Raw genomic sequence first — 19868 nt, 5'->3', positions numbered from 1 at the left:
TACTGTCACACATTCACTTGTCAATTTCATAGAAACAAAATTCCAAGTTTCAAAGTTGAACAGGATATTTCCATGAGCTTTCATATTCGTAAAAGACTTTGTAAAAAAATATTTTGAGAAGAGATTCTGCATAAGAAAGAAATCTGTGCCAGCTCTGTAGATCTAGAATGCAGATTCTCATTTATATACAGGTCAGGGGACCTAATTGGATCTTCCCCATTCTTCTCCCCAAGACTTATCGTAAAATTACTCAAGGTTGTAGAATATTTGTATCTGCTGTATTATATCTCAAAGCTCTCTAATAAATTGCATCCCATTTTAAACCCCACAAAATCCACTTACAGGTGAGAAAGCAGAGACAGAAAAACTAATTCACTTGACTGTGATCTCACAACCAGGACACAACCCAGACCCACTCTTAACTCCTGTTCATTACCATACAGTACTTTTCTCTTTACCACACAGCAATCCAAAATGGGTTAAAAATAGCCCTGGAATATAAAATCTTGGACAAACAATAATTTCCAAAGGGCTCTTGGATCTCCACTAACTTCTAACAACCCCTTTGTTCCCCTAAGCTGTAAGATTCTCTGTGTCCCACCTTCTACTTTTTTTTCATTGAACAGTCCAGAGGTCTTTTATTTTTTTTAACGCCTATTATGCCATGAATTCATAGGGAATAGGTACCAGCAGCTCAGGCTGCTTCCCATTGGTTCTCACAAAGTGTGCTTCTCTGGGTGGAGCAGGCTGGCACTTCAGTTGAACCCAGGCACCTTTCTCTTTGGCTTCTTTCTTTTACTGATCATTTTCTTTCACACGTTTCAGGAAGCTATCTCGGCTCTTAGAGTGCTTAATGTACTCAATACACACATTAATTCTCTGGGCAAGAATCTTGCCCTTAACTTGTTTGTTTACGACAGTGCCAAGAGCATGCTGGGTAATATTGTAGACTCTTCCAGTTTTGTCAAGGTAACACTTGTGGGCCATTCCTTTTTGAGCAGTACCCATTCCCTTGGTGTCTACATTATCACCTTCCTTATAGATGTGCATATACGTGGCCAAAGGAACAACTCCATGTTTTCCAAAAGGCCTAGAGAACACATATCGGGTGCCTCTCCCCTTTCCCTTTGTGTTCGTCATTTTGGCGAATTACTGAAAGATGGCAGTTCTGGCTGAAAAGTCTACCTTCTACTTTTAAATGTAAGGTTTTTTCCCCTTCAAATTACAGCGTCTGCTTTTTTCTCTTTTATGTCAAAAATTACTTTTAAAACAAGAAAGTGAGAGAAACTAATTTATTTATTATTATTATTTTTTTTTTTTTTTTGAGATGGAGTCTCGCTTTGTCGTTCAGGCTGGAGTGCAGTGGCGCGATCTCAGCTTACTGCAAGCTGTGCCTCCCGGGTTCACGCCATTCTCCTGCCTCAGCCTCCGGAGTAGCTGGGACTACAGGCACGCGCCACCATGCCCGGCTCATTTTTTTGTTTTTTTTTTAGTAGAGACAGGGTTTCACCGTGTTAGCCAGGATGGTCTCGATCTCCTGACCTCGTGACCCGCCCGCCTCGGCCTCCCAAAGTGCTGGAATTACAGGTGTGAGCCATCGCGCCCGGCCTTATTTCTTAGAGAATACGTGTCTATTATAGTCTTGAGTACTTTGTTGATGAATATTCTTTTGTTGTTGTTGTTGTTGTTGTTTTTGAGACAGCGTCTCGCTCTGTCACTAGGCTGGAGTGCAGTGGCAGGGTCTCGGCTCACTGCAACCTCCACCTCCCGGGTTCAAGCGATTCTCCTGTATCAGCCTCCCAGAGTAGCTGAGACTACAAGTGCATGCCACCACTCCCAGCTAATTTTTGTATTTTTAGTAGAGACGGGGTTTCACCATGTTGGCCAGAATGGTCTCGATCTCCTGACCTCGTGATCCGCGCGCCTCGGCCTCCCAACTTTTGTTGTTTTTGAATTGCTCTTTATCTGATTTCTTTCCAGGCAGAATAGACTCTTAAATGTTAAGAACACAGGGCTTTCCAGCTGGGCGCGGTGGCTCAGGCCTGTAATCCCGGCACTTTGGGAGGCCGAGGCGGGTGGATCACCTGAGGTTAGGAGTTCGAGATCAGCCAATCAGCCTGGCCAACATGGCGAAACCCCGTCTCTGCTAAAAATACTAAAAATTAGCCAGTGGGTGCCTGTAATCCCAGCTCCTAGGGAGGCTGAGGCAGGAGAACCCCTTGAACCCAGGAAGCGGAGGTTGCAGTGAGCCAAGGTCATGCCATTGCACCCCATCCTGGGCAACAGAGCGAGACTCCGTCTCAAAAAGAAAATAAAAGAACATAGGGCTTTCCACCGGGTGCAGTGGCTCACGCCTGTAATCTTAGCACTTTGGGAGGCCAACGTGGATCACTTGAGGCCAGGAGTTCAAGACCAGCCATAGCCAACATGGCGAAACCCCATCTCTAGTAAAATACAAAAAAAAAAAAAAAAAAAAGCCAGGCTTGGTGGCCGCGCCCGTAATCCCAGCAGCTTGGGAGGCTGACGCTTGGGCAGCTGGGGCGCCAAGAATCACTTGAACCCGGGGCGGAGGCTGTAGTGAGCCGAGATTGCGCCGCTGCACTCCAGCCTGGGCGACAGAGCGAGATTCTGTCTCAAAAAAAAAAAAAAAAAAAGAACATAGAGCTTCGGAGTCAAGAAGATGGGAATTGGGAATTGGAATTTCAGTAATGGTCTCTCAGTTTCTTAGCCATGTGACCTCAGGGAGCTCGTTGAGGCTGTTTCCTCGTCTGCGAAATAAGGTACTACAATCGGCTTTACGGCGTCACGCAGCAAGAGCAGAGGTAACATTTAGGGCCGTCATTAACGCTATGGCAGGAGCGCGGATGATTCCAGCCCAGGGCCCGGCAGAGAGGGCGCTCTGTAGCACAGTGAGGTCTGAGAGTCCGCGTCTTGGCATCTAATTGAATGTCTACTACGATGTGGGTGGGTTCCAGCTCTCTCAGAAGCAGATCCTGAGAGAAGGACTGAAGTGCAAGCAGCTATGTGGGAGGTGATCCCAGGAAACGCCTGTAGGGGAGAGGAAAATGGAGCCGCCCAAGTCCCTGCAGGGACTTCACTGAGAAATAAATGACTGAGGCTTCCGCTGTGGACAACCGGGCTCAAGCCTGTTGGGACCTTCACGTCGACTGCTTGGTGAGAAGGAAGCCTGGCTGGCGACCCACGGCTCCTGCCCTGGTTGAGGAAGGACCGCGCCCCCCGCCAGGGGCCCGCAGCCCGAGGGAGAACTGCCTGCGCCCCTGGGGTACTGCGCCCAGTAATGCGTAGGGGCCCAGTTCCCTGCCCGGCTGTGCGGCCTCTCCCTGGTCTCTCTCTACACAGTGGCAGACCTACCCGGGCTGCTCCAGTAGACAGCAGGCTCACCTCCATCAGGCACCCATGCGGGTGCCCAGAAAGGCTGTCGAGGGCTCCCTACGAGGGAGGCGGGCCTGGGGGGAGCTGACAGCCGAGGGTGGCCTGCTGCCAGCTGGGGCAACAGGGTCTGCCCAGGAGCGGTCTATGCATGGCGTCTGTGTCCAGCACACTTGCCCTCTTCCAGAACTCTGACAGGCGGGGTCTCACTGCCCGGTGCCACCCCTCTGAGAACCATTCCTGGAGAAAAGACCTGTAGGTATGATCTGTGGAGGGGAGACTTGGCTTCCTGCCGACCACGCTCTGGTGGGAGCCACCAAGCCTCAAGCTTCCCTCACACACACGCAGCACAACCAGCGTCCTAGCGCCTTAGTCTTAAATAGGAGCAGAGAGGCAAGGATTACCAGCGCGGGAGGGGCAGACACAGCAGAACAAACAGAACAGAGACAATTCAGGTAGCAAAGTATTCACACATCCTCCTGTGGTTAGATACCATCAGAACTGGAAGAGAAAATCTGCACTCATGAATCGAGAATAATCAGGGACAGAGCTCTTGAAAATAGCCTGTTATTTATTTATTTTTATTTTTTTGAGACGGAATCTAGCTCTGTTGCCCAGGCTGGAGTACAGTGGCGCAATCTTGGCTCACTGCAACCTCCACCTCCTGGGTTCAAGCCATTCTCCTACATCAGTCTCCTGAGTAGCTGGGACTACAGGCATGCACTACCACACCCGGCTAATTTTTGTATTTTTAGTAGAGATGGGGTTTCACCATGTTGGCCAGGCTGGTCTCGAATTCCTGACCTCAGATGATCTGCCTGCCTCAGCCTCCCAAAGTGCTGGGATTACAGGCGTGAGCCACTGCGCCCAGCTGTTTTTTTAAACAAAGTTCAGTAGGTAGGTGGGAGACAAAATTAAGGAAATATCAGGGTAAGAGGGATAGAGAGATGGAAACTAGAAGAGAAAATATAAGAAATGTAGAGACTCATTCTTGGCAGTACAATATCTAATAAATTGGAGCTACTTGGGAGACTGAGACACTAGAATCGCTTGAACCCGCTTGCAGTGAGCCAAGACTGCACCACTGCACTCCGGCTTGGGTGACAGAGTGAAATTCTGTCTCAAAAAAAAAAAAAAAAAAAAAAAAGTCAGCTTTTTTTTTTTTTGATGGAATCTCGCGATTATCTATCAAGCAATTCTCCTGCCTCAGCCTCCTAAGTAGCTGGGACTACAGGTGCCCACCATCACGCCTGGCTAATTTTTGTATTTTTAGTAGAGATGGAGTTTCACCATGTTAGGCAGGATGGTCTCGATCTATTGACCTCGTGATCTGCCCATCTCAGCTTCCCAAAGTGCTGGGATTACAGGCGTGAGCCAACGTGCCCGGCCCTTTTCTTCTTTCTTTCTTTTTTTCTTTTTCGTTGAGATGTTGCCCAGGCTGGAGTGCAATGGCGTGATCTCAGCTCACCGCAACCTCTGCCTCCCGGATTCAAGCGATTCTCCTGTCTCAGCCTCCAGAGTAGCTGGGATTACAGGCGTGCACCACCACGCCCGGCTAATTTTTTTTGTATTTTTAGTAGAGACAGGGTTTCTCCATGTTGGTCAGGCTGGTCTCAAACTCCCGACCTCAGGTGATCCACCCACCTTGGCCTCCCAAAGTGCTGGGATTATAGGCGTGAGCCATGGCGCCCGGCCAAAAGTCAGCTTTTAGTAAGAACAAACCCAGTCTATACTTGTCTATGTCAAATAGTCTAAAAATTTGGACTATTTTGTGACAACCATAAGCAAGTCTCAAGGTTACAAGAAAATGGTTCTTGAAACTATTAACACAAGACTAGCCCTTATACTTCTTAACAAAAAGATGTAGCCAGAAGATTATTTTATGATGATAAGGCACAGAATATGTGTAGATTTAACAGATTTGTTACTAAACTGTTTCTTATCTATCTAAACAATATCTAATGACTAGCTCAAGTTTGTTCTTTTAAAAGTACCTGTTTTAACAGATTCTCATTCTGTCAAGGTTTTTCATTAAATGCCTCCACTTCGGCTAGATTTTCTAGCCAAGTCTGTCTGCAAGGAAATGAGGCTTAATTCCACCCAAAACACCAGAGAGAACTGATAATCCTAAACTTCCAGAGGAGAAAAAAAACTTCCTCTACTGCACCAGACACTGCAGATAGTCTGCCAAACAGCCATCTTCCCTTTCCTGCCTGTTAATAGAAGCCAGGTTTGGAGGCCTGTAGCACGGACCTCCGGAGGGAGGAATCATGATTGCGCCAGGCACAGGGGGCTCCTTGGCCGGCTATTAAACTGTGTAGTATGGCACAGTCCTGACCAAGGAAATTCAGGGAGACGTCTGCTGGGAATGGGGTAATTTTATTGCTTCTCTCCTTGTGACTCAGGCTGTGATGTTTGGAGCTGGCACAGTCATCTTGTCTCCTTGAAGCATAACATCATCAACATGCTGAGGATGGAAGAGCAGAGAGCTGAAAGGAGCCGGGGCCCTGGTGAGCATGGTGAGGTGCCAGTTCAGCCTTGGGATAGCTTACTTCCAGTCCTCCTACTAAGGAAGCAGTCAATGTACCTATACTATTCTTAGACAGATATTATGTTCTGAAGGGAGTCACCCAAACTATGCCACTTTAGCATAAGGATTATTTTGAGCTGAAGACAATTGAAAAGCAGCAGACTCAAGAAACGCTCACTACCTTTCTCTGTCTGCTGACAAAACAAGGCATACATTTCCTGTTGTGAAGGCATCCCCTGCTCTCATATCAGGAAGGGAAAGACAACCTTTATTACTGGAGTGGGGAAAGCATGGAGATGAGTCTGCACAAACAGACCTATTAAATAACCCTTACCATCAACTGGTGTCCCCCATAAATTTACCTTCCCACAATTTACTGCTCCTAGAAGCACAAATTCTTTTCCTTTGTCCTGTCTCCACAATTTATCACTCTGTTAAAATAACATATAGACCCCCGGGTCTAGCTTCTCTTTGGGTCTTCACTTCTATGGAAGCTTCCATATACATGTAAAAATTAACATCAGATAAAATTCGTATTCCTCTTCTACTGTTAGTCTGTCTTTTGTCAGTTTAATTAGCAGATCCCAACGGCAGAACCTAAGACACCAGAGGAAAAGTTCTCCCTCTTCTACAGTTCCTTGCTGCCCAAGCCATCTTATTTAATAGGCATACAAAGAATCAGAAATAAGAATACCATAAGACATCTCAACAGCAATATGGAAAGTTAGAATATAGCAAAATATATCTTCAAAGCTCAAAAAGACTACCAATCACCAGTTGTGGGTAAGAGTCCTCATTTCCCTCTGTCTTCATCAGTGGCAGCTCATTCTTTTATTTGAATTTGCTTATACCCAGTGAGACTGAGCATTTTATCACAGACACATTGACCTAGTGGATTTCTTCTAGAAACTGTCCATTCATTTGATTTGAATTTCGTGTCTCTTTTCTTAATATGCAAAGCTTCTTTTGTATTCTGATACTACTCCTTTGTTTTCTATGCTGCAAATAACTTCTCCCAGTTTGTGATTTGGACAGATGAGGGTTTGGATTCCAGACATCCCATCTTTGAGAATGAACACACCACTAATCTTAGGCAAGCTACTCAACCTTGTTCTCCACTGTGGACAATCAAGTGATATAACCCAACTCACAGGATTGTTTGGGTCATTAAGTGAAATAAAGTGTGTCAACTCCCCATTAGTATCTGGGACATGGTAATTGATTAATGTATAGAGATAGGTTTAGTGTTATCAAGATTTATAGGCCAGGCTTGGTGGCTCATGCCTGTAATCCTAGCACTTTGGGAGGCCAAAGCGGGTGAATCACCTGAGGCCAGGAGTTCTAGACCAGACTGGCCAACATGGTGAAGCCCCATCTCTACTAAAAATACAAAAATTAGCCAGGCATGGTGGCGGGTGCCTGTAATCCCAGCTACTTGGGAGGCTGAGGCAGGAGAATCACTTGAACCCAGGAGGTGGAGGTTGCAGTGAGCTGAGATCACACCACTGCACTCCAGCCTGGGCAACAAGAGCGAGACTCCATCTCAAAAAAAAAAAAAAAAAAAAAATTCACAGGTTCTTAGAGCAAGAAGGAATCTAAGAAAACATTGAATGTATTGATCATTGAATGACGATATTGAGACAGCATTTATCATGTTCTCATGTTCTCAGAGCTGTTTTGGGAGTTTTATTCATATTAACCCATTGTTGTGAGCTCAGTACTCACAGCAATGCTATGTAATAGAAGAGGGAATTTACTATGGGAATTGGCTAATGTAATTATGGAAGCTGAGAAGTCCCACAGTCTGCTGTCTGTAAGCTGGAGAGCCAGGGAAATCAATGGTGTAATTCAGTCCAGGTCCGCAGGCTTGAGGACCAGGGGACCTGAGGGTGTAACCCTCCATCTGAGGCTGCTGTCCTGAGAAATCAGGAGGCTGCTGGTATAAGTCCCAGAGTCCAAAGGCAGGAAAACCTGGAGCTCTGATGTCCAAGGGCAGGAGAAGAAGGGTGTCCCAACTTCAGAAGAGAGAATGAGTTCACCTTTCTTCTGCCTTCTTCTTCTACCTAGACCCTCAGCAAATTGGATAGCGTCCACCCACTTTAGGTGAGGGCATCTTCCTTACTCAGGTTGCTGATTCAAATGCCAATCTCTTCCAGAAACACCCTTAGAGACACACCCAGAAATAATGCTTTACCAGCTATCTGGGCATCCCTTATCCCAGTCAAGTTGACACCTAAAATTAACCATCATATCTCCCAAAGATTGGAAAGAAAGTATTTTGCAGACAATAAGGAGGAACCACCCACCCTACATCACACATCTGTGGACCTGCTTCTGGGAAGAGGGCCCATAGCTTCCCTCAGGCTCTCAAAGGGAACAAACAAACTGCCAGTCTAAATCCTAGCCCTTCAAAAACTTGACAGATGCAACTTTTCTTTTTCCCTTTTGCAATAAAGAGAGTTCCCTGCACTGCAGGAGCACCCTGCATGGGTCTTACTTGTGTGGATAAAGGAGAGGCAATAGATGGTGAGAGTCTCTGCATCTTTCCACATCCCAACAGGGCACTCATTAAGTAAGTTAACAGCCTGGAGATTTTAACTGGAATGGGTATTCTCTGCAAATAATTGCTTTGTGTGAGGATCTCGAATCTGGGCCCTTGTTAAGAACCTTCTTGGTGTTAGTCCTGCCCCGCCCCTGGGCATGGATTTATGTAAGCCATCCCTGATTTCTGAAGAACTTCAGGAAGAGACAGCCTGCAGCCACTCAGTTCACTTCATCTCAACTAGAATTAAGGCTGGATGGCTTTTTTTTTTTTTCTTTTTTTTGAGATGGAATCTTGCTCTGTTGCCCAGGCTGGAATGCAGTGGCGTGATCTCGGCTCACTACAACCTCTGCCTCCTGGGTTCAAGCAATTCTCCTGCCTCAGCCTCCTGAGTAGCTGGGATTACAGGTGCCCACCACCACGCCCGGCTGTCTTCTGTATTTTTAGTAGAGATGGGTTTTCACCATGTTGGTCAGGCTGGTCTCGAACTCCTGATCTCGTGATCTGCCCGCCTCAGCCTCCCAAAATGCTGGGATTACAGGCATGAGCCACCATGCCCAGCCTTGAATAACAATGCTTTTAAGGTTTACTTCTGTAGAAAGACTTTTCTGAATTAAGCCAATTTAGGTTAAAACTCCATCCAAGGTTTTAACAAAGTATGGTGAACAAATGCTGTTTTAATGCAACAATAATACTCCTTTCTACCCAGTTACGCTTAGGTAAGGAAATGCGACTTGTTTAATTTAATCCAGTACCTGGCCTACAGCACTTGAAGGTCTTGAGGGAGTTTGTTTAAGCAATCTTGTTTCTCTCAAAGCCAAAACATACGTAAATTAAAATTCTTTACTGTATTGGGAAAATTTTAACTGATCACATTTTCCTGGTAGTACTATTTTCAAAAGGACAACCATGAAAATATACACAATAAAATTGTGTATATTTTAAATGCCAACAAAATAATCTACCTAACAGCATTCTAATGTATAAACAAACAAGTATGTGTGCCCAAGAGGAAACAACTGTGCATTTAGATATGAAGAATGGGAAAAAAGTATCATGTCTCCTCTACAAAGTAAGATTTTCACTCCATTTTGAGCAGGACTTAAGGGTTACATTATAAAATATGTAAGAAATAATGTTTATTACATAAAAACTTTATAAATTCAGGAAAGTATCACATACAAAAATTATCCTTAATTCTACTTCACAGAGGTAACCAACAAATTATTATTAAGACTTGAAAAAGGTAGGCCGAGTGTGGTGGCTCACGCCTGTAATCCTGGCACTTTGGGAGGCCGAGGTGGGCGGATCACCTGAAGTCAGGAGTTCAAGACCAGCGTGGCCAAAATGGTGAAACCCGTCTCTACTAAAAATACAAAAATTAGCTGGGCGTGGTGGTGTGTGCCTGTAGTCCCAGCTACTTGGGAGGCTGAGGCACAAGAATTGCTTGAACCCGGGACGAGGAGGATGCAGTAAGCTGAGATGGCGCCACTGCACTTTAGCGTGGGTGACAGAGCAAGACTCCGTCTCAAATTAAAAAAAAAAAAAGTAGTATAATTAGTGACAGAGTTCGTTCAGGAGGTAGGAGAGGAATTGTTTAAGAACAAATGTTTGAAGAAGGTACCCTTAACACTTCAAAAAATTATATATACGTATGTTTTTACATATATTTCATTCTGTAAAATAGGTATTATTCCCATTCCATCAATGAGGAATTTCTTCTGAATGAATTTCTGCAGGCATCTTTATTAATTCTCCTATTTATAGCTATACTGCATGTGAGGGATAAGAACAATAACAGGCCGGGTGCAGTGGTTCACACCTGTAATCCCAACATTTTGGGAGGCCGAGGCAGGCGGATCACTTGAGCCCAGGAGTTCGAGACCAGCCTGGCCAACATGACAAAACCCCATTTCTACAAAAGACACAAAAAATTTGTCAGGCATGGTAGTGCATGCCCATAGTCCCAGCTACTCGAGAGGCTGAGGTAGGAGAGTTGCTTGAACTCAGGAAGAGGAGGTTGCAGTGAACCAAGATTGCACCACTGCACTCCAGCCTGGGTGACAGAGTGAGACCCTATCTCATAAAACAACAACAACAGCAACAACAACAAAAAACCCCACGATAATAATGATTAACATTTAATGAGCCCAGCAATTTGTCAGGTACTTATTCAACTCAAAAATGAGTATTATTATTATTCCTATTGTCATTGTTCTTATCACTCATATGCAGTATAGCTATAAATAGGACAATTCATAAAAATGCCTGCAGAAATTCCTGAATGAATATAAAACTTTTTATGAATAATCAATATAATCATTAAATCCAGATAAAGTATTATTGTAGGCAAGACCCACCGATGGATGCTAATATTGGTGGGGAAAAGTTTGAGGAGAAACAGGATATTTGCATTGTCTTGAAGTAACTCCCTCATTAATAAATCACACTGCACCAGTGGAGAAAGCCAGCGGGCACCACTTTTCACTGGGTGGTGGGGGTTCACATCACCAAGAAGAAGACGTATTGAATGACGAAGCCCTGTGTGGATGCATTGCACTGAGGGCACAGCATTATTTATGCAGTATTCTTGCTAAAAATGCATAGCCTCAATCAGATTATGAGAGAACATCAGACGGACCCAGACCAACAGACATTCCACAGCAATAACTGACGAGTATTCTGCAGAAGTGTGTTTGGGTCATGAAAGACAAGACTGAGAGACAGTCCCAGATTGAAGGAGACTAAGAAGCTGCAACAACTAAATGCAAGGGGGCTCCTAGATGGGAACCTGGAAGAGAAAAAGGGTGTGAGTGGGGAAACTGACCAAATTCAAATTAGATCTGTAGTTTATTTTGCATCATGTCACTGCTAATTTCCTGTTTGATCGTTTTGCCCTGGCTATGAAAGATGTGAACATTGGGAATGCTGGGTGAGGTTATATAAGAACTGGCTGTTCTATCTGCAAAGTTTTATGTAAGTCCAATATTATTTGAAAATAAAAAAATATAAAGAAAAGAAGTAATGGCTACAAGCAGGATGGTTCTTTCCCACTTGAGCCTCAAATCAATCACATGTTCCCCAGACAGTTGTTCTCCAGTTATTGCCACCAATTTGTGATCTGGCTGCTTCTCACAGGAGAAACTGTCACAGCCCCCAGGAGAACCATGGTAGGGACTGATTGATTGATTTGTAAATTAAGTTCTGGGCAAAATAGCAAAGTGCTGGTTATTAATGATAAAAGAACTGGCTCTTGCTTACCAACAGCTGGCATATGATAAGCAGAAGCTTGAATTCAGGGATCTTCAAAGACACATAGGCAAACTGACCAAAATGTGCTAAGCACTGAAAATGCATGGCATCACAGGGCTCTCGGACTCGTGGAGAGGTTGTGGGGGGCAGCAGGGAATAAACAACACTCTTCTCCTCCTGAGTTCTGAACCAATTCACAGTACCGTCAGCTAGGGAGCAAAATGGCAGTTTACTAGTGTTTAACCTCACTGGGGAACAGGGTTTTTCCTCTGCTTTCCAATAGGTTTTTTCCTAATCTTATCCAGCTTCACCCAATCACAGGCACACGTGAGTAACCACAGCCCCTGAAATGACAGAATACGATGACTATGTCTTAGATAGCCCGTTACTTCCCCAAATCGTGAAAGAGCCAGAAACCCTCTGCTTCTCCTCTCTAGACACCCACCAAAAAGTTCCTGTCTTCCCTTCCACGGACTGGAGTGAAGGGGAAGAGAGTAGAAATTCCTTATTCATAGGTGAAGGGGTTCAGAATGTGCTGCTCCGAAATGTGCACTTTGACATCAGGATTAATTGGAGTTGACAGCAACTGAGAAGATGGAGATACAAGAAAAGCTCTCTGCCCTCCCCCTATTTGCTTAAATCAGGACAGAAATTGGCAAAGATATCCCCCTTCTCTCTGCTAGGAAGGACAGAAGCTAATCACCAGAGACAATTCTAGATGCTTATCAGCTGGAGAAAACACTAGAGGATCCTACTAACCACCCTTATCTTCCACTCTACCCATAGATGATTTGCCTTCCCACAGTTTGCTGTAACTAAAAGCTCAAAGTCCTTTTCCTTTATCTCATCTCTTCTCTACAAATGTATTGTTCTTTGATAAGGATACAAGCCCACGTTTTCACCACCCCTTTGAGTTACTCATCTCTGAGTGCTCTCGTGTGTGCACGGTGCAAGTGCTAATAAACTTGTTTGTTTTTCTCTTGTTAATCTGTCTTCTGTCAGTTCAATTTACAGGGCCTCCGCCAATGAACCCAGGATAAGTGGAGAGAAGAGAAAATTTTCCTCTCTTACATGGGCTAAACTCAGAATGCTGGGAAAAGAAGGAAAATACATTTCCTATAGCCCCTACCTAAAAGTCTAGTAAAAGTACATGAATTAAGATTTCCAGCGCCTGGGAGCTGGGTGTGGTAGTGAATGGGGTGTTAATGTTTGATGGGGACAGAGATTCCATTTTGCAAGATTGTAAGAGGTCTTGGAGCCAGGCACAGTGGTTCGTGCCTATAATTCCAGGAGTTCGAGACTAGCCTGGGCAACATGGTGAAACCCCATCTCTATAAAATACAAAAGTCAGGTGGGGGGTATGGTGTTTTGGGATGGATGGTGGTGATGGTAGCACAACCATATGTTTCTTTTTTCTTTTTTTTATTTTTTATTTTTAGAGACGAGGTCTTGTTCTGTCACCTAGGCTAGAGTGCAGTGGTGTAATCACAGCTCACTGTAACCTCGAACCCCTGGGCTCAAGAGATCCTCCTGCTTCAGCCTCTCCAAGCTGGGGACTACATGCGTGTGTCACCATGCCAGGCTAATTTTTTTTTTTTTGTACTTTTTTGTAGAGACAGGGTCTTTCCATCTTGCCCAGGCTAGTCTCAAACTCCTGGGCTCAAATAATCCTCCCGTCTTGGCCTCCCAAAGTGCTCGGATTATAGGTGTGAGCCACTGTAATATGCACAACAATATGAATGTACTTAATGCCACTGAACTGTATGCTTGAAAATGGTTACGATGGTAAATCCATATAATATATAGTTTATCACAATTTAAGTTTAATTTTTTTTTTTTTTTGAGACAGAGTGTTGCTCTGTCTCCCAGGCTGGAGTGCAGTGGCACAATCTTGGCTCACGGCAACCTCCGCCTCCCAGGTTCAAGTGATTCTCCTGCCTCAGCCTCCTGAGTAGCTGGGATTACAGGCGCCCACCACCATGCCTGGCTAATTTTTGTATTTTTAGTAGAGATGGGGTTTCACCACGTTGGCCAGGCTCATCTCCAACTTCTGACCTCAGGTGATCCACCTGCCTCTGCTTCCCAAAGTGCTGAGATTACAGGTGTGAGCTATCGCGCTCTACACAATTTAAGTTTTTAAGAAATGAAAGGAAATAGTACATGAATTAATAGCATGGCTGCAAATCCATTATGGCTATACTGTATCAATACTATTTGGAAGCCAAATCAAATAGCATCACTAATTCTAGATTTATGTCCACTCTGGTGAAGAAGTAGAAAATGGTCTCAGAAACTTTCTTTTAGTTAATCTCTCTCCGAGGACTACAGCATAGGGATGATAAGAAAATATTCCTACAAACATTCCTACTTGCTTCAGCAGTAAATGAGAGGATGGTTTGGATTTCTCAATCATGAACAAGGGAAGAAGCTCATTCATGGATCTTAGCAAAGAAGAAGTCGGTGGAGACAGAAGATTCCAGGGAAACAATCCATGACATTGTTTTGTTCTGAGTCAAAGGCAACATCGCTAGACTCAGATAAGTGAATGGGTATTGGCTGAGATGGCGGTGGTTAGGGTGAGAAGGCACCATGTCTCCTCCCCGCAGGTGGCCATGTTTTCTGCCCCAGATCTCATCTTTATTCCTCGGATATGAAGTGTCTCTGAGATGGCTCCAGATGGAACCTGAACCCCTGACCTCCCCACGTAAAGACATGCGTGACACCCATTACACCATCTGGGGCTCATAAAACCACATGCTCTGTCTTTTCCTGGCTCTCAAGCTGTTCAAAAGCTGAAGGGCAATATTTGGGACCGCTCTGGTTTATTTGTGGACTTTAATTCAAAACACATTTCCACAAAGAGAGGCAGAACAAAGCACAATAGCACTAAAGTTCAATTTACATTCTCAGTCAGTGAAACAAAATGGAAATAGAAAACAGTTGTGGGAGAGTCGTTTATAACCAAACTACGGCTCCAAAAGCGCCTTTCCTATAATGTCATGGAGTAAAAGACATTTTAGAAACCGCCAGCAAACACTTAAGTGACCAAAAAAGGAGAGATGAAGACTTTCTATTTAAAAAAATTATTAAAGAGCTGATGATGTCGTCTGATCTCTCCCTCCTAATCTGGCAGATACAAGGTTATTTCCATATTTCCTGATTTAAAATACTTTCCTTCTCTTGACGGTTGTTTGGATCCTGCCAGTCACTGGGAAGCCAGTGCTGTCATGGAAATCCCTGCACACGACACACGGGTTTCCTTCGGTTTGGCGAGACATTCCCAGATGACCGCAGAGCTTGTCTGCCATCACATCTCCGTGATTTCCAGGTACAAATTTGCCGTAGTAAGTTATGTCTGGCTTGTTCTGCAAAAAAAACACCAAGTGCTAGTAGATGGATTCAATTGCAGCCACTATGTCAGTGACATGGTTAAGAAACAGTGTGCAGAGCACGTGCTTACGTGATTAGAAACGCTGCAGAGTCGCAATGATAAATAAAGGGGCTCCCTGACTTAAATTTCAAACTTGATCTCACACAGTTAATTAGCAGCAGAACTAGAAGAAGATGTGTCATTCCAAGTCTTAGGCATTTTCTACAAGGCTGAAAAATGGAAATTCTTCTGGTAACAAGTACAAACCCCTCATCCCGGCGGCCACGGGAAACGCTAGCAGCTCTGCGGAAGAGGCGGGTGGGGGGCAGGCTGGCCTCATCCCTCGGTCTGTGCTTGCGCTGTTTTCTTCTCTTCCAACTGATGAAATCAGAGCTTCTCTAAAACAGCTCTGAGTCCCCAGGCCAGCTTCTCTTTGCCCACTTAGTGTTTCTTTCTTTCTTTTTTCTTTTTCTTTTTTTGCGGCGGAGTTTCGCTCTTGTTGCCCAGGCTGGAGTCCAGTGGCAGATCTCGGCTCACTGCAACCTCCGCCTCCTGGGTTCAAGTGATTCTCCTGCCTCAGCCTCCCGAGTAGCGGGATTACAGGCGTCCGCCACCATGCCCAGCTAGTTTTGGTATTTTTAATGCAGGCGGAGTTTCACCAGATTGGCCAGGCTGGTCTTGAACTCCTGACCTCAGGTGATCCACCCACCTCGGCCTCCCAAAGTGCTGGGATGACAGACGTAAGCCACCGCGCCCGGCCACTTAGCATTTCTTTTGCTGGCTCTTTCTCATAATATAACTACTTATCGGCAGGCATGCTTCTACTGCCCGGTTGTCAGCTTTCTAAGGATGTGAGCTAGTCCTTATTCATCTTTGCCTCCTGGATTTTTGCTCAATGCTTGGTGTGTAGTCAGTGGCTTGTTAGATGTTTTTTGGAATGAACTGACGCTCTATCCATACTAAATTCAGTGACTTTTCAAATCAAAATTTTTTTCAACTTTTTATTTTACTTTAGTTTTTCCAGAGATAACTGCCAAGGAAATCTACTTCAAATACATTTAGGTTTTCTAGGAAATGGTTGGAGGCAAAACTTGTTAGCTCCCCCAGAACCCAATTCATAACCCTCAAATCCCTTTCTTGCACTTAGAAGAGTTAGGATAGTGAAATCCTGGCTTCCCAGGCTCCCTTGCAGCTCAGTTTGCCATGTGATTCAGGCATGGCCAAAGATAAATCAGTGAGAGTCCCTTGGGAGGCTTCTTGATAAAGAAAGGGGCCTGTGGGCATTGCTAAAGAAAGGGCCCTGTGGCCCTTCTCTTCCACTGAAGGTTGCTGCAGCCACCAGCAGCCACAAGGCAGCAAATATGAATCTGAAATCCATTCCCACCAAGGACAGAGGAGCAAGAAGATAGAAAGGATTAGGATTCCTGAAGGCATTATGGAGCAGCTGAACCTCTGGTAACAACTGCTGCCTCCAGACTTCTTGTTATTTAAGAAAAATATGCCCTTCATTATGTAAACCACTTTTAGGCAGGAGGAGGCCTAACATCTTTGAATCCTTCCAGTTCAAAAAAATTTTGGAGCAATTGCTCTGAGCAAGCACTGTGCTAGTTAGAAGGGAAATACACAGCTTGACTAAGACTAAGCAAGAATGAAGATGCCTTTTAGAATTTAGAGGAAAACCTGCTTGAGGGTATTATCACGTTCCCAAGTCTTATATATGTATATATATATATTTTTTTCTGGTATGATCTCCCAACATAAAACTATATAAAGTGGACCCTTGAACAACATGGGTTTGAACTGCATGGGTTCACTTGTACAAGGATTTTCTTCCATCTCTGCCACCCCTGAGACAGCAAGACCAACCCTTCCTCTTCTTCCTCCTCCTCAGCCTATTCAATGTGAAGACAATGAGGAGGAAGAACTTTACGATGGTCCACTTTCACTTGATGAGCAGTAAATATATTTTCTCTTCCTCATGATTTTCTTCATAACATTTCTTTTCTCTGGCTTACTCTATTATGAGAACACAGTGTATCATACATATAATATACAGAATAGGTGTTAATTGCTGCTTATGTTATCAGTAAGCCTTCCAGTCAAAATGTCTGCTATTCATGGCTAAGTCTGGGGGAAGTCAAATGTTATTTTGGATTTTCGACTGTACAAAGGAGTGGGTGTCAGCACCCCTAACTCCCACATTGTTCAAGGGTCAACTGTATGTATTTTTCTGAACAATGATTTTTAAAAGATTACAGCTTTCATGACACTTTATCCCTGAGTACTTCCTCCTACACTTCCAAAAAATGAGGAACTTCTACAACCAATATCATACTTGAGAAAGTTGATAATTCCCAAAGATCATCTAGTGCTCAATCCATATTCAAATTTTCCCAATAATCCAACTCCAAATTTCTATTTGCTTTTTTAAAAACCAGGATCCAATCACTGCATTATGCTTTAATCTACATTAGGCCCCCCACCCCCTTATTTCTTCATGATTTTGGCTTGTCAAAGAGACCAGGCTAGTTAGCATGAAAAGTGTGTGACTTTAAGGATTTTGTCAAATTGTTTCCTTCTTATGTTCTTTTACCTGTTCCTCTGTTCCTGTATTGTCTGTCAACTGGAAGTTAGGTCTAAAGGTTTGGAGAGATTTAACTTAAAAATATTTTTGGTGACCAGGCGCGGTGACTCACGCCTGTACTCCCAGCACTTTGGGAGGCCGAGGCAGGCGGATCACGAGGTCAAGAGATGGAGACCATCCTGGCCAACGTAATGAAACCCTGCCTCTACCAAAAAAATACAAAAAATAGCTGGGTCTCTTGGCGCGCACCTGTAATCCCAGCTACTGGGAGCTGAAGAATCTCTTGAACCCAGGAGATTCCTGGGTTGAACCTCCGTCAGGAGGCGGAGGTTGCAGTGAGCAGAGATCACGCCACTTCACTCCAGCCTGGCGACAGAGCGAGACTCCATCTAAAAAAAAAAAAATTTGGCAAGAACGTGGTGGAGATCCATGTGTGTCTGTCTTTCTTTCTTTCTTTCTTTCTTTCTTTCTTTCTTTCTTTCTTTCTTTCTTTCTTTCTTTCTCTCTCTCTTTTCTTTCTTTCTTTCTTTCTCTCTCTCTCTTTTCTTTGTTTCTTTGTTTCTTTCTTTCTTTCTTTCTCTCTCTCTTCTCTCTCTTTCTTTCTTTCTTTCTTTTCTTTCTTTCTTTCTTTCTTTGAGACGGAGTCTCGCTCTGTCGCCCGGGCTGGAGTGCAGTGGCGTGATCTTGGCTCACTGCAAGCTCCTCCTCCCAGGTTCATGCCATTCTCCTGCCTCAGCCTCCCAAGTAGCTGGGACTACAGTTGCCCGCCACCATGCCCAGCTAATTTTTTGTATTTTTTAGTAGAGATGGGTTTCACCATGTTAGCCAGGATGCTCTCCATCTCCTGACCTCGTGATCCGCCCTCCTCGGCCTCCCAAAGTGTTGGGATTACAGGCGTGAGCCACCGTGCGCGGCCCCATGTGTGTATTTCTTATGGTGTCTGCTCATCACGTGGAGTTGTGTGGAGCTTCACACATATAAGCGGAGTTGAGCTTCTTGGTCACTGATCTTTTGCCTCTGCTTTCTATCCACAAATGCTCATGACTCCCTAGCACACTGTCCCTGTGCCTGGTATGATATGACCAGTCATGGTCCCACACCTCCATTTTTTGTGCTGTGCCTTGTACAGAAGTAATTTTCCTCCTGTAAGCGTGGTCTACAGTCATAGAAACAGTAGACAAGGCATTGTGATAATAAAAGATAATAAAAAGAGATGCCCTAAGGGATCTACTGTATGCTGGACATTCACTTCCTTACCTCCATTGTGGAATAGTTGTCCAATTTCTCCTTGGTAATGAAGATCAGTCACCCCAGCCAACACTAGCTCTTTTTGCAGCATATTGATTCAGAGGCATGAGGAACCCAAGGTGGCCAGGTTGCAGTCAACTTCCAGTTCAATTGAACCATTGTTTTTGTCCTCCCACTGAAACTAGACTTCTAGGCCAGTGGAGCATAAAGTCACAGGACCAGGAAGCAAAACTTTTGCTAGTGGGTCACTAGGGGTGATGGTGAGTGGTGCCTCTCCCATTTCCACCCCTTTATGTCTGGACCTGTGAATCCTGGCTGTGGGAGAAACAGCACCATAGATTAGATGCTGATTTGGAGCGTATCCAACCTCCTGTGAAACCTTGCCCCAGCCCTGCAAGGTACTGCTACCTAACTGGCACTGTAACTGAGTCTTCAAAAGGCCATTTCACTCTCCCAGCAAAATTGCTGCTTTAGGATGATATAGAATATGGTAAAACCAGTGAATTCTATGAGCACAGACCTATTGCCACACTTCTTTCACTGTAAAGTGAGTTTCTTGATCAGAAGCAAGGCAGTGCGGCTGATGGTGAATAAGGCATTCTGTGACTCCACAAATGGTAGTTTTGGCAGAAGCATTGTGAGCAGGACAGGCAAATTTGTATTCAGAATAAGTGTCTATTCCAGTAAGGACAAAACTCTGTCCCTTCCATGATGGAAGTGGTCCAGTGTAATCAATCTGCCACCAGATAGCTTGCTGATCCCCCTGGGTGATCATACTGGGGGCTCAGTGTTGCTCTCTGCTCCTGGTAGATTGAGCAGTCAGTGGAGGCTGTACTCAGGACTTCCACTCTGTGCTGCTGAGCCTGTGCACAATCTCCATCCCTGCCACCATGGCCACTTTGTTCACAAGCCCACTGGGCCATGACAGAGTGGCTGGGGGAAGAGACTGACT

At 44.6% G+C, this 19868-nt stretch overlaps 1 long non-coding RNA gene and 1 pseudogene across 3 annotated transcripts; one reads left to right on the top strand and one right to left on the bottom strand.

Moving 5' to 3' along the window:
• Positions 625-1178, bottom strand: RPL21P82 (ribosomal protein L21 pseudogene 82; annotated as a pseudogene).
• LOC107987094 (uncharacterized) lies at positions 2696-7117 on the top strand. Of its 3 annotated transcripts, XR_001746835.2 has the most exons (4): positions 2696-3174; positions 5796-5909; positions 6490-6703; positions 6940-7117. It is a non-coding gene; the product is annotated as an uncharacterized LOC107987094 (long non-coding RNA). The 3 variants fall into 3 exon arrangements; XR_001746836.2 differs by having other exon boundaries at positions 5796-5900; positions 6490-7117; XR_001746834.2 differs by having other exon boundaries at positions 6490-7117.
• The last annotated feature ends 12751 nt before the right edge of the window (positions 7118-19868 follow it).

Source organism: Homo sapiens, chromosome 9, assembly GCF_000001405.40.
Source record: "Homo sapiens chromosome 9, GRCh38.p14 Primary Assembly".
Classification (NCBI taxonomy): Eukaryota; Metazoa; Chordata; class Mammalia; order Primates; family Hominidae; genus Homo; species Homo sapiens.
Note: the sequence above shows the minus strand (reverse complement) of the source record. Positions and strands in the feature narration are given on the sequence as shown.